At 45.4% G+C, this 15,578-nt stretch overlaps 1 annotated feature.

The window, feature by feature from the left end:
• Window positions 6,709–7,406: an enhancer, noted in NCBI's record as "H3K4me1 hESC enhancer chr4:39991585-39992282 (GRCh37/hg19 assembly coordinates)". NCBI's record gives its function as "activates a minimal SCP1, AML or CMV promoter by ChIP-STARR-seq in primed H9 embryonic stem cells {active_cell/tissue: H9 hESC(primed)}" and the evidence as "EXISTENCE:reporter gene assay evidence [ECO:0000049][PMID:30033119]".

Consider the following 15,578-nt stretch of genomic DNA (forward strand, 5'->3'; position numbering starts at 1 on the left):
AAGTATGAAAAAAACTGCAGGTATAAGTGACATGGATAAATCTTAGTGACATAAAGTTCAACAGCAAGGTTCAGGATAATGGTTACCCTTAGAGTACAAGGAGAAGCAGGGAACACAGTGAGACAACACGGGAGAATGAATATATTGGTAGATGTATTCTGTTGAAGCTTTATTCTTGGGTGAGATGGTGACTTCACATATGCTAGCTATGCTAAAGAATGAATGGTTGAATGACTAAAGGCAACCCATGGACTAATGAGAGATGTGTTCATAACCCAAGAATTATAATTAATCTAGTCAGAGCACATGAGGTCCAGAAGAGAAAAAAATAAAACCAAACTCAACAAATTTCCAAACATTTTAATATTGTAATTTAATATTTTTTCAATTATATCCCCTGAAGTCAAAGAAATTATACCCTCATGATAATTATAATTTTTGTCTAGTAATGGTAGTACCATAAGAAATTATTTAGAGTTATATTTTGTACAAATGCCACTTTTTAACCCTTTCTCAAGTTGCTAGTATTAGGATGACAGATGATTATAGGACTGAAAGAGTTTTCAGAGTAAATAAAATTTCAACAATCACATTGCAGTGCATTTTTGTTATGAAGCTTGGGATGTTAGCCTCCTGTTGTCCTATATAACTTAAAATAGGCTGGGCATGGTGGCTCACGCCTGTAATTCCAGCACTTTGGGAAGCCAAGGTGGGCAAATCACTTGAGGCCAAAAGTTCGAGACCAGGCTGGCCAACATGTCGAAACCCCATCACTACTGAAAGTACAAAAATTAGCTTGTGGTGGTAGCACACACCTGTAATCCCAGCTACTCGCGAGGCTGAGGCAGTAGAATGGCTTGAACCCAGTAGGCAGAGGTTGCAGTGAGCCAAGATCATGCCACTGCACTCCAGCCTGGGCAACATCAATGAAGCTCCATCTCAAAAAAAAAAATTTTTTTTGAGACGGAGTCTCGCTCTGTCGCCCAGGCTGGAGTGCGGTGGCGCGATTTCGGCTCACTGCAACCTCCGCCTCCCGGGTTCACGCCATTCTCCTGCCTCAGCCTCCCGAGTAGCTAGGACTACAGGCGCCCGTCACCACGCCTGGCTAATTTTTGGTATTTTTAGTAGAGTCAGGATTTCACCGTGCTAGCCAGGATGGTCTCGATCTCCTGACCTCGTGATCCGCCCCCTTGGCCTCCCAAAGTTCTGGGATTACAGGCGTGAGCCACCATGCCCGGCCACAAAAAAAAATTTTTTTTTAAACTTAAAATAATTGGCCAAGTGAGGTGGCTAATGCCCATAATCCCAGCATTTTCGAAGGCCAAGGCAGGAGGATCACTTTAGCCCAGGAGTTCAAAATCAGCCTGAGCAAGATAGTGAGACTTTGTCTCTACTAAGAATAAAAAATTAGGCCAGGCGCAATGACTCACGCCTGTAATTCAAGCACTTTGGGAGGCTGAGGTGGGTGGATCACTTGAGGTCAGGAGTTCGAGACCAGCCTGGCCAACATAGCGAAACCCCCTCTCCACTAAAAATACAAAAAATTAGCTGGGCATGGTAGCGGGCACCTGTAATCCCAGCTACTTGGGAGGCTGAGGCAGGAGAATTGCTTGAACCCAGGAGGCAGAGGTTGCAGTGAGCTGAGATCAGGCCATTGGACTCCAGCCTGGGCAACAGAGCAAGACTCTGTTACACAGACACACAAAATTGTTTTCTTCATGTAAAATCTCTTTTATCTGAGCTAATTTGCAGTAAGCCAAGATCGTGCCACTGCATTCCAGCCTGGGTGACAGAGTGAGACTCCTTCTCAAAAAAAAAAAAAGGCCGGGTGCGGTGGTTCACACCTGTAATCTCAACACTTTGGGAGGCCAAGGCTGGTGGATCACGAGGTCAGGAGTTCAAGACCAGCCTGGCCAACATGGTAAAACCCCGTCTGTACTAAAGATATAAAAAATTTGCCAGGCGTGGCCGGACACGGTGGCTCACGCCTGTAATCCTGGCACTTTGGGAGGCGGGCAGATCACCTGACTTCAGGCGTTTGAGACCAGCCTGGCCAATGTGGTGAAGCCCCGTCTCTACTAAAAATACAAAAAATTAGCCAGGCATGGTGATACAGGCCTGTAATCCCAGCTACTTGGGAGCCTGAGGTAGGAGAATTGCTTGAACCTGGGAGGCGGAGGTTGCAGTGAGCCTAGATCACACCATTGCACTCCAGCCTGGGGGACAAGAGCGAGATTTCATCTTTTTTTTTTTTTTGAGACGGAGTTTCGCTCTTGTTGCCTAGGCTGGGGTGCAATGGCACAATCTTTGCTCACTGCAACCTCCGCCTCCCAGGTTCAAGCGATTCTCCTGCCTCAGCCTCCTGAGTAGCTGGGATTACAGGCATGTACCACCACACCCGGCTAGTTTTTTTATATTTTTAGTAGAGACGGGGTTTCTCCATATTGGTCAGGCTGGTCTCGAACTCTTGACCTCAGGTGGTCCGCCTACCTCGGCCTCCAAAAGTGCTGGGATTACAGGCGTGAGCCACCACACCCGGGCATGATTATCTTCTCTAATACATTTGATAAATGAGTCTATTCTGCCCATAACTGTAGTAAAGAAGTATGTGTCATAACTTTACTTTCTTATTTTATTTTTATTTTTTTGAAACAGTGTCTTACTCTGTCACCCAGGCTGGAGTTCAGTGGCATAATCACAGCTCACTGAAGCCTTGATCACCTGGGCTCAAGTTATCCTCCCACCTCAGCCTCTTGAGTAGCTGGGAATACAGGTACGTGCCATGATGCCTGGCTAATTTTTTTTTTTTTAGACTGAGTCTTGCTCTGTTGCCTAGGCTAGAGTGCAATGGCACATCTCGGCTCACCTCCTGGGTGCAACCTCCACCTCCTGGGTTCAAGCAATTCTCTTGCCTCAGCCTCCCAAGTAGCTGGTATTATAGGTGCCTGCCACCACACCGGGCTAATTTTTGTATTTTTAGTAGAGATGGGGTTTCGCCACGTTGGCCAGGCTGGTCTTGAACTCCTGACCTCAGGTGATCTGCCCGCCGCAGCCTCCCCAAGTGCTGGGATTACAGGCGTGAGCCACCGTGCCCGGCCCTAATTATTTATTTGTTTGTTTGTTTATTTATTTATTTTTGAGAAGGAGTCTCACCCTGTCACTCAGGCTGGAGTGCAATGATATGATCTCGGCTCACTGCAACCTCCGCCTCCCGGGTTTAAGCGATTCTCCTGCTTCAGGCTCCAGAGTAGCTGGGATTACAGGTGCATGCCACAACACCCAGCTAATTTTTTTTTTTTTTTAGACGAAATCTCAGGCCGGGCTGAGATTTGGGAGGCTGAGGCAGGTGGATCACAAGGTCAGGAGATCAAGACCATCCTGGCCAACACGGTGAAACGCCCTGTCTACTAAAAATACAAAAATTAGGCCTGGCGCGGTGACTCACGCCTGTAATCCCAGCACTTTGGGAGGCTGAGGCGGGCGGATCACAAGGTCAGGAGATCGAGACCATTCTGGCTAACACGATGAAACCCTATCTCTACTAAAAAATACGAAAAATTAGCTGGGCGTGGTGGCAGGTGCCTGTAGTCCCAGCTACTCGGGAGGCTGAGACGGGAGACTGGCATGAACCCGGGAGGCGGAGCTTGCAGTAAGCCAAGACTGCGCCACTGCACTCCAGCCTGGGCAACAGAGTGAGACTCTGTCTCAAAAAACAACAACAAAAAAAAATTAGCAGAGCATGGTGGTGGGTACCTGTAATCCCAGCTACTTGGGAGGCTGAGGCAGGAGAATTGCTTGAACTCAGGAGGCAGAGGTTGCAGTGAGCTGAGATCAGGCCATTGGACTCCAGCCTGGGCGACAGAGCAAGACTCTGTCACAAAAAAGAAAAAAAAAATTGTTTTCTTCATGTAAAATCTCTTTTATCTGAGCTAATTTGAGTACATTTCTGATGTTAACCACCAAATATGACCTAATTTAGAATGAATAATTGATTGGACTTTATGAAATCTTAACCAAGATTCATGAACCCACCTGTACTGGGTTGAATAGTGCCCCACGACACACACACACACATACACACACACACACACACACACACACACACAAAATTCATGTCCACCTGGAACCTCCTAATATGATCTTATTTGGAAGCAGCATCTTTGCAGATGTAATTATTTAAAACAAACTCATACTGTATTAGGGTAGGTCCTAAATCCACTGACCAGCAGTGTCTTAATAAGAAGATATGAAGACACACAGGGATGAAGTCCCATGTAGGGATGGAGGCGATGATTGGAGTGATGACTGCAAGCCAAGGAATTACAAGGATCACCAGCAAGCACCAGAAGCAGAGAAAGAGACAGGGATTCTTCCCTCGAGGCTTCAAAGCGAATATAGCCTTGTTCACACCTAGACTTTGGACTTCTAGCCTCTGAAACTGTAAAAGTGTAAGTTTCTGTTGTTTTAAGCCACCACGTTTGTGGTGCAACAGCAGTCCTATGAAACCAATACACCAGCCATATGCAAAAATTGTTTTGGCTGGGTGCGGTGGCTCATGCTTGTAATCCCAGTACTTTGGGAGGCCAAGGTGGGGGGATCATGAGGTGAGGAGTTTGAGACCAGTCTGGCCAACATGGTGAAACACCATCTCTATTAAAAATACAAAAATTATACAGGTGTGGTGGCGGGTGACTGTAATCCCAGCTACTCGGGAGGCTGAAGCAGGAGAATCGCTTGAACCCAGGAGGCGGAGGTTGCAGTGACCTGAGATCACGCCATTGCACTCCAGCCTGGGTGACAGAACGAGACTCTGTCTCAAAACAAAAACAAAAACAAAAACAAAAACAAAAAAAAAGAAGGAAAAAAACTGTCTTAAAGTGGGATAGTTGGTAGCCATAAGAAAGCAAAAACATTTACCCTCTGAGAGACAAATGTCACTCTCATGTTGACCTAAACATTTGCTTTTGAAGGAGAACTGTGAAACATCTATACAGCTGTAAACAACAGCTTACCTGATTTCTACATTTTTTTTCAATTGTGTTAACTTTGTGAGCATAAATCAATTTCTTTATTTACTCTTCTTTAAATTTTAGGTGGCCGCGCGTGGTGGCTCACGCGTGTAATCCCAGCACTTTGGGAGGCCTAGGTGGGTGGATCACGAGGTCAGGAGATCAAGACCACCCTGGCTAACATGGTGAAACGCTGTCCCTACTAAAAATACAAAAAAATTAGCCGGGCTTGGTGGCGGGTGCCTGTAGTCCCAGCTACTTGGGAGGCTGAGGCAGGAGAATGGCGTGAACCCGGGAGGCAGAGCTTGCAGTGACCTGAGATCACACCACTGCACTCCAGCCTGGGCGACGGAGTGAGACTCTGTCTCAAAAAAAAAAAAAGTAATAATAATAATAATAATAATAAATTTTGGATTCGGGGGTACATGTACAGGTTTGCCATAAGAGTAAATTGTGTAATGATAAGATTTGGGCTTCTATTGATCACATCACCCATACAGCGAACATAGTACCCAGTAGGAAGTTTTTCAGCCCTTTTCCCTCTCCCTCTCTCCTTTTGGAGTCCCTACTGGCTAGTGTTCCCAGCTTTATGTCCACGTATATTTTCTCATTTTCTTTTCTTTTTTTTTTTTTCTTTTTGAGATGGAGTTTCGCTCTTGTTGCCCAGGCTGGAGTGCAATGACACGATCTTGACTCACTGCGACCTCTGCCTTCCGGGTTCAAGCGATTCTCCTGCCTCAGTCTCCCAAGTAGCTGGGATTACAGGAGCCCCCCACCATGCCCGGCTAATTTTTTTTTTTTTCAGACGGATTCTCACTCTGTTGCCCAGGCTGGAGTGCAGTGGGGCCATCTTGGCTCACTGCAACCTCCTCCTGGGTTCAAGCAATTCTCCTGCCTCAGCGTCCTGAGTAGCTGGGATTACAGATGCATGCCACCATGCCCAGGTAATTTTTGTATTTTTAGTAGAGACGGGGTTTCACCATGTTGGTCAGGCTGGTCTCAAACTCCTGACCATGTGATCCACCCACCTCAGCCTCCCAAAGTGCTGGGATTACAGGCATAAGCCACCGCACCCAGCCCCCTAATTTTTGTATTTTTAGTAGAGAGAGGGTTTCATCATGTTAGGCTGGTCTTGAACTCCTGACCTCAGGTGATCCACCTGCCTCAGCCTCCCAAAGTGCTGGGATTACAGGCATGAGCCGCTGTGCCCATCCCATTTACACACATTCTTATGCAATAGAACAATATGCAAGCAAATATTTAAGTAATTATGAAACTAATGTGGAAAAACTGCAAAAATGGAACTGTTGTATGGCAGACAGCTCTACCAAACCTTAGCTTCAAGTGTTGATTTGTCATTTTTCAGCTATGCAAAAGTCCAAACTAAAGTTTTAAAAGCAGTTTAAGAATGGAAGTATAGGCTGCACGTGGTGGCTCACACCTGTAATCCCAGCACATTGGGAGGCTGAGGCGGGCGGATCATGAGGTCAGGAGTTCAAGACCAGCCTGGCTAACATGGTGAAACCCCCGTGTCTACTAAAAATACAAAAAATTAGCCGGATGTGATGGCAGGCGCCTGTAGTTACAGCTACTTGGGAGGCTGAGGCAGGAGAATTGCTTGAACCCAGGAGGCAGAGGTTGCAATGAGCCGGGATCACACCACTGCACTCCAGCCTGGGTGACAGAGCAAAACTGCGTCTCTGAAAAAAAAAAGAAGAAGAAGAAGAATGGAAGTATAGGCTGGGCCCAGACTCTCATGCCTGTAACCCCAGCACTTTGGGAGGCCTAGGCAGGCGGATTACCTGAGGTCAGAAGTTCAAGACCAGCCTGGCCAACATGATGAAACCCATCTATACTAAAAATACAGAAATCAGCTAGGTGTGGTGGCGTGCGCCTGTAGTCCCAGCTACTTGGAAGGCTGAGGCAGTAGAATCGCTTGAAACCCGGAGGAGGACGTTGCAGTGAGCCGAGATGGCGCCACTGCACTCCAGCCTGGACAACAGGGCCAGACTCCGTCTCAAAAAAAAAAAAAAAAAATGCCGGGTGCAGTGGCTCATGCCTGTAATCCCAGCATTTTGGGAGGCCGAGGTGAGCAGATCATGCGGTCAAGAGATTGAGACCATCCTGGCCAACATGGTGAAACCCCACCTCTACTAAAAATACAAAAATTAGCTTGGTGTGGTGGCACGCGCCTGTAGTCCCAGCTACTTGTGAGGCTGAGGCAGGAGAATTGCTTGAACCCAGGAGGCAGAGGTTGCAGTGAGCTAAGATTGCGCCACTGCACTCTAGCCTGGGGACAGAGCGAGACTCCATCTCAAAAAAAAAAAAAAAAATGGAAGTATATAATGAATAACCGAGGTTGTGCAAAATTGAAAGGACAAAAGTCAAGGAAGTTACTTTGTTTTGTTTTGTTTTATTTTGTTATTTTGAAATGGTGTTTCACTATCACCCAGGTTGGAGTGCAGTGGCATTATCTCGGCTCACTGCAGCTCGGACCCCCAGGATCCAAGCAATCCTCCCACGTCAGCCTTTGGAGTAGTAGCTGGGACTACAGGCACTCACTAGGATACCTGGCTTATTTTTGTATTTTTTGTAGAGACAGGGTCTCACTAGGTAGCCCAGGCTGGTCTCAAACTCCTGAGCTCAGATGATCCACCCGTGTTGGCCTCCCAAAGTGCTGGGATTACAGACGTGAACCACTGCTTTCTCCCTACCTGTTTTTCTTTTTTTGAGGAAGAGTCTTACTCTGCCCAGGCTGGAGTGCAGTGGCGCAATCACAGTTCACTGCAGCCTTGATCTCCTTCCTGAGCTCCAGCAATCCTCCTGTCTCAGCTTCCCAAAGTGCTGGCATTACAGGTGTGAGCCACCGAGCCCAGCCAAGAGAAACACTTTCTATTATTTATAACCAATCAAATGTCATTATAGGCCGGGCACAGCGGCTCACGCCTGTATTCTCAGCTACTTGAGAGGCTGAGGCAGAAGAATCACTTGAACCCAGGAGGCAGAGGTTGCGGTGAGCCAAGATCATGCCACTGCACTCCAGCCTGGGGGACAGAGTGAGACTGTCTCAAAAAAAAAAAAAAAAGTTGTTATATAATACCCAGCAGATTGTTAAGTACTTGAACTTCAAATTTCTAGTTTAACTGGAAATGTAACCAAATTAGAACTGGTAGCCAACACTATTTGACTTGTCTGAGAGATGTGCCAAGGATTTGCGCAACTTTTGCCTTATGAAGTTTTCCAAGTAATTATAGAAACTGCACAGTTCTTGGAATGTGGGCTACCTAGATAAATACTGTTTTGGGAAAACTCTACAGGGTTCAGTTATGCAGAGACTTGTCTAGAGACTAAAGAAAATTAAGCAGAGTCTGCAGGAAATTTAAGGACTAATTTCACTTTCTAATCATAACTGAGATATATCATAATTTTCAGGATACACGAAGTTTCTTGTTAATTGAATTATTTGATAAATTAAATCTTAACCAGAAAACTCCTTTTCTTTCCACTCTTTTGGAAATATTTCTAGAATACATCAGTTATTTTTTCAGTCCTTAGAAAGCACAGGATAGGCTGGGCACAGTGGCTCACACCTATAATCTCAATGAGATAAAGTACCTAAAAGTGCTTAACACAGTGCCTGGAGTATAATATGTGCTTAATAACTGTTGTCTACTATTTTCTTTTTCTTTTTCTTTTTTTTTTCAAGACGGAGTCTCATACTGTTGCCTGGGCTGGAGAGTAATGGCACGATCTTGGCTCACTGCAACCTCCGCCTCCCGGGTTCAAGTGATTCTCCTACCTCAGCCTCCAGAGTAGCTGGGATTATAGTTGCCTGCCACCACACCCAACTAATTTTTTGTATTTTTAGTAGAGACAGGGTTTTACTATGTTGGCCAGGCTGGTCTTGAACTCCTGACCTCATTATCTGCCTGCCTCGGCCTGCCAAAGTGCTGGGATCATAGGCGTGAGCCACCGTGCACAGCCTACTATTGTTAATATTGTTCATATTATTGCCATTATTGCTGTTAGTTCTCTTTGGTTTCTAGGAGCAAAGGAAATGAACTTAAGCTAGCTTAAGCAAGGAAAAAAATGTATATATATATATATATAAAATCATCATCATATGTATAATAATGATAACAGGGGTGCTTCATGGAACCCAAGTAAAATTACAGCTAGACTTCAAGAAAGGAGTCAGGTAAGAACTGAAAGATGGTATCAGCAATACATTCTACTCCTAATTTCCCTCTCAACATCTCCTTCATTCTTTTTTTTTTTCCGAGACAGAGTTTCACTCTTGTTGCCCAGGCTGGAGTGCAATGGCATGATCTCCACTCACTGCAATCTCTGTCTCCTGCGGTCAAGTGATTCTCCTGCCTCAGGCTCCCAAGTAGCTGCGATTATAGGCATACGCCATCATGCCAGGCTAATTTTTGTATTTTTACTAGAGATGGGGTTTCACCATGCTAGTCAGGCTGGTCTCAAACTCCTGAACTCAGGTGACCCACCCGCCTTGGCCTTCCAAAATGTTGGGAGTACAGGTGTGAGCCACTGTACCCGGCCCTTCATACTTTGCTCTTTAAAAAGAGCTCCTTCTTTGCTTTTCAGTCCACATGACATGCAGTAGAGAATCACCTCTCATCTTTTGTTTGCTTGTTTGTTTGTTTGTTTTGAGACGGAGTCTCTCACTGTCACCTGGGCTGGAGTGCAATGGTGTGATCTTGGCTCACTGCAACCTCTGCCTCCCAGGTTCAAGCAATTCTCCTGCCTCAGGCTCCCGAGTAGCTGGGATTACAGGCACCAGCCACCAAGCCCCGGCTAATTTTTTGTATTTTTAGTAGTGATGGAGTTTCACTATGTTGGCCAGGCTGGTCTCGAATTCCTGACCTCGTGATCCGCCTGCCTCGGCCTCCCAAAGTGCTCGGATTACAGGCGTGAGCCACCATGCCCAGCCTTGTTTGTATTTTTAGTAGAGACAGTGTTTCACCATGTTGGCCAGGCCAACTCCTGGACTCAATTGATCTCCCTGCCTCTGCCTCCCAAAATGCTGGGATTATAGGTGTGAGCCTCCACACCCAGCCACCTCTCATCTTCTGAGTTTACATAGCCTACATCTTAGATTAGCTCAGACTAAACTAGAATCTCTTAGTCCAAATAAGAAATGCCAAGGACAACAAATGGAATTCTTTTTTCTTTTTCCCATAGAACTTACCATCTAGAATACAAAATAATTTACTTATTTTTTTTTGATGATTTATGGTTTGCCTCTCCAGATGCGCATGCCTTGTTTAATCAACTGGGGCCAAGTGTGCAGGGTCATGTCTAAAACGTGAAGTGAACCACCATTAATGAATTGGGAAACGAGTAACAATTTTCAGAGAAAGGAAGAATCATGCACCAGATATATCCTCCAAAAGATCTCCACCAAAGTTTTATTTCCGTTAAAGTTAGTGCCAACTCGGTGTTCTTTATATTACACACACCCAACATTCACAATAAAAATAAAATCTCTCTCAGCATCACATTTAATTATTTAAATGAAATTTTCAGAGTTTGACTTTTTAAATTCTTTTTTTTTTTTTTGAGATGGAGTTTCACTCTTGTTGCCCAAGCCGGAGTGCAATGGCATGATCTCAGCTCACTGCAACCTCCACCTCCTGGGTTCAAGCGATTCTCCTGCCTCATCCTCCTGAGTAGCTGGGATTACAGGTGCAAACCACCAAGCCTGGCTATTTTGCATTTTTAGTAGAGACGGGGTTTCACCATGTTGGCCAGGCTGGTCTCGAACTCCCGACCTCAAGAGATCCACCCCCCTTGGCCTCCCAAAGTGCTGGGATTACAGGCGTGAGCCACCAACCCAGGCCCACTGTTCACATTTTAACAAGTAATCTTTAATATATATTTATAGATTCAAAATTAATAATACAGCTGGGTGTGGTGGCTCAGACCTCTAATCTCAGCCCACTGGGAGGACAAGGCAGGCGAATCACTTGAGGTCAGGAGTTGGAGACCAGCCTGGTCAACATAGTGAAACCCTGTTTCTACTAAAAATAGAAAAATTGGCTGGGTGTGGTGGCGCATGCCTGTAATCCCAGCTACTTGGGAGGCTGAGGCACCAGAATTGCTTGAACCTGGGAGGCAGAGGTTGCAGTGAGCCCAGATTGCACCACTGCACTCCAGCCCGAGTGACACAGCAAGACTCCACCTGAAAAAACAACAACAAAAAAAAAAAAAAAAAAAAAAGAAGAAGAAGAAGAAGAAAGAAAGCTATTACTCATAAGAAACTCCATGGCTGGACCATGATCTGCATCCCTGAGTCTGTCACAGTTAGTGTTGCAAGACAGACTTATTCCTCCTTGTGTGCCATTCCCTTTCTGGGGTATTTAGCACATGCCATGGGGAACAGAAGGGATATTTGGCAATGTGACTAAATGCAGGGAGAGAGACAGACAGAGACTGTTTTTGAATATTAACAGAGAAGGGCAGTCTTTTCAATGTGAACAGTCTGATTGTATATACACCATGGATAGGATTGATACACTCCCGATCTCATCTAAAGTGGAGCAGAGCTGAATGGCTCAAGCCTGTGCCAAATGTAGAAAAGAGATAGGATCCTAGGGAAAGGGTGCAAGTCTCTGTCATGGAGGGAGGAGAAAAGAAAGAGAAGATCCCAAAGGGAGATTGTATATTTGTGGGAAAAAAGAGGCGTGGCCATGTAGGGCAGCTCAATGGACCTAAATGAAGGTGTCCTAAATGGACCACTGCCCATTAAGGATAAATGGGAAAGCTGATATGAAAAGAATAGAGGAACTCTTTCCGAACTCTTACTTCCTTGGTACTTGGAGTTGGGAGCTCTGACACTAACTTGAAGCAAGGGACTATTATGTACATTCTGTAAGAATGAAGCTCTGTGGGGGCAAGGATCTTTATTTTGTTCACTCATGTATCCTAAGTGCCTGGCACCTATAGGTACTCAATAAATATTTGTTCAATTAAATAAATTATAGATTGTGTATATATGCTTGACTGGCTAACAGAGGGATTGTTTTATATTGGATTGTACCACCTCTGCATTTCCTATTCAGAGCATAATTCTGATGTTTCGTTAGAAATCAGCTGGACGTGGTGGCTCACGCCTGTAATCCCAGCACTTTGGGAAGCTGAAGCGGGCAGATCACAAGGTCAGGAGATGGAGACCATCCTGGCTAATATGGTGAAACCCCATCTCTACTAAAAATACAAAAAGTATCTGGGTGTGGTGGCGTGTGCCTGTAATCCCAGCTACTCGGGAGGCTGAGGCAGAAGAATCGCTTGAACCTGGGAGGCAGAGGTGCAGTGAACAGAGATCACACCACTGCACTCAAGCCTGGTGATAGAGTGAGACTCCATGTCAAAAAGAAAGAAAGAAAAGAAACCAACTAGTAAGGCAGGGCGCAGTGGCTCATGCCTGTAATTCCAGCACTTTAGGAGGCAGAGGAGGACGTATCACTTGAGGTCACAAGTTCAGGATCAGCCTGGTCAATATGGTGAAACCCCATCTCTTCTAAAAATATAAAATTTAAAAAAAACAAAAAAACAAAAACAAAAATTAACGAGGCATGGTGGTGCATGCCTGTAGTCCCAGCTACTGGGGAGGCTGAGGCAGGAGGATCACTTGAACCTAGGAGATGGAGGTTACAGTGAGCCAAGATTGCACAGCTGCACTCCAGCCTGAGCAAGAGAGCTGAACTCTGTCACAAAAAAAAAAAAAAAAAAAATCAACCAGCAGGGCTGGGCGTGGTGGCTCAAGTCTGTAATTCCAGCACTTTGGGAGGCTGAGGCAGGCAGATCACTTGAGGTCCCAAGGTACTGGGATTACAGGAGTGAGCCACCCCACCCAGCCAGATGGGTTTTATTTAACCCTATATATCTTGACTGACTTTCCAACCTGACTCTGGCATAGAATTACCAGATAAGGAATAAAAGTATTTTTATTTTTATTTATTATTATTATTTTTTGAGACGGAGTTTCCCTCTGTCGCCCAGGCTGGAGTGCAGTGGTGCAATCCTGGCTCACTGCAACCTTTCTGCCTCCCGGGTTCAAGCAATTCTCCTGCCTCAGCCTCCCGAGTAGCTGGGATTACAGGTGCCCGCCACCACGCCAGGCTAACCTTTGTATTTTGTTTTTTCTTTAAGACAGAGTCTCTCTCTGTCGCCAGGCTGTAGTACAGTGGCGCGATCTCAGCTCACTGCAACCTCCGACTCCCTGGTTCAAGAGATTCTCCTGCCCCAGCCTCCCAAGTAGCTGGGATTACAGCAACGCACCACCACGCCCAGCAAATTTTTGTATTTTTAGTAAAGACGGGTTTTCACCATGTTGGCCAGGCTGGTCTCAATCTCCTGACCTTGTGATCCACCCACCTCGGCCTCCCAAAGTGCTGGGATTACAGGCGTAAGCCGCCGCACCAGGCCCGGCCTTACTTTTTTATTTTTAGTAGAGACGGGGTTTCACCATGTTGGCCAGGATGGTCTCAATCTGTTGATCTCATGATCCGCCTGCCTCAGCCTCCCAAAGTGCTGGTATTACAGGCGTGAGCCACCGCGCCTGGCCAGAATCAAAGTATTTTACCCCAAAACATGTTTCTTTGGCGTATTTTAAAATGGCCCTGCAAAGCTGTTCTTTGTGGGGGAAATTTGCATCTGTAAAGGATCTCTATTAACGTAGCTATATCTTTTTCCTCCAGACACTCCCAATGCTAAAGAGATTAACTACGATCTGAACAGAAAACATTTGTCATCTATTGTCTCTAAGGGGAGTCACTATAAGACTTCCAAAGAACTTTGGTCTCCACAATCTTTATCTTACCCTGAACATTCCCTTTCTATCAATCTCAAATCTTTAGTCAAACTCGACCAATTGTTAACCAGAAAATGTTCAAATTCACCTATAGCCTGTAAGCGCCCCCTCCCACCCCTTTGAGTTGTCCCCCGTTTCTGGACCATAGCAATGTATTTCTTTTTCTTTCTTTCTTTCCTTTTTTTTTTTTTTGGACACAGAGTCTCCTTCTGTCCCCCAGGCTAGAGTGCAGTGAACTCACTGCAACCTCTGCCTCCTGGATTCAAGGGATTCCCCTGCCTCAGCCTCCTGCGCAGCTGGGACTACAGGTGTGTGCCACCACGCCTGGCTAATTGAGACTATCTTTTCATTCTCTATATGGAAAATAATATTATAAAATTGTTGCCCTATGAGAAGATGACCAAAGATCACCAAATTTTTGGAAAATGAGAAGATGGAAACATGGATTCTTTCATTTGACTGTTGGCTTAATCCATAAATATTTATTAGTTGCCCACTATATTTTCTTTTTTTTCTTTTCTTTTTTTTTTTTTTTTTTTTTTTGATATGGAATCTTGTTCTGTTGTCCAGGCTGGAGTGCCATGGCAATGTCTCAGCTCATTGCAACCTCTGCCTCTCAGGCTCAAGAGATTCTCCTGCCTCAGCCTGCCAAGTAGCTGGGATTACAGGTGCCCGCCACCACGCCCGGCTAGTTTTTTTTTTTGAGATGGAGTCTTGCTCTGTCGCCCAGGTTAGAGTGCAGTGGCACAATCTTGGCTCACTGCAACCTCCACTTCCTGGGTTCAAGCAATTCTCCTGCCTCAGCCTCCTGAGTAGCTGGGATTACAGGCCCCCACCACCACACCTGGCTAATTTTTGTATTTTTAGTAGAGATGGGGTTTCACAGTCTTGGCCAGGCTGGTCTCGAACTCCTGACATCAGGTGATCCACCTGCCTTGGCCTCCCAAAGTGGTGGGATTACAGGCTTGAGCCACTGTGCCCGGCCGCCCACTATACTTTCAAAAATGCTGACAGAGGTTGGGAGTAGAACACTAAATAGATGTAAATAGTCCTGCACATCAAGGAATTCACAGTCTAAGGTGGAATAGGCCCCTAACAAGTAAACTTACCAATTATTACTTATTTATAATTAGTATAATTATGACAAAAAATAAGTGCAAGAGAGCTAACCAGAAAGATTCCTTGAAAAACAGGATGTCTAAATTGGGGTAGTAATCCAGATTAAAAGGGGAAGAAAGAATAACCTATTTTGGGGGAATAGCAGAACAAAAGGCTCTGAGGTAGGAAAGTACTTGTTAACTTCAAAGAACAAAAAAATAAAAAAATAAAAAAAAAGGCCGGGCACAGTGGCTCACGCCTGTAATCCCAGCACTTTGGGAGGCCGAGGCAGGCAGATCACGAGGTCAGGAGATCGAGACCATCCTGGCTAATACGGTGAAACCCCGTCTCTACTAAAAATACAAAAAAAAAAAAAATTAGCTGGGCGTGGTGGCGGGCGCCTGTAGTCCCAGCTACTCAGGAGGCTGAGGCAGGAGAATGGCGTGAACCCGGGAGGCGGAGCTTGCAGTGAGCCGATATCGCGCCACTGCATTCCAGCCTGGGAGACAGAACGAGGCTCTGTTTCAAAAAAAAAAAAAAAAAAAAAAAAAAAAAAAAAGCTAGCGTAGCTACTGTGAAAATAAATTTAAAATCTAGCATGTTGGAACTGTAAATTATTTTGAGCCTTAAAGGAG

The sequence above is a fragment of the Homo sapiens genome, chromosome 4, assembly GCF_000001405.40.
Source record: "Homo sapiens chromosome 4, GRCh38.p14 Primary Assembly".
In the NCBI taxonomy this organism is placed as follows: domain Eukaryota; kingdom Metazoa; phylum Chordata; class Mammalia; order Primates; family Hominidae; genus Homo; species Homo sapiens.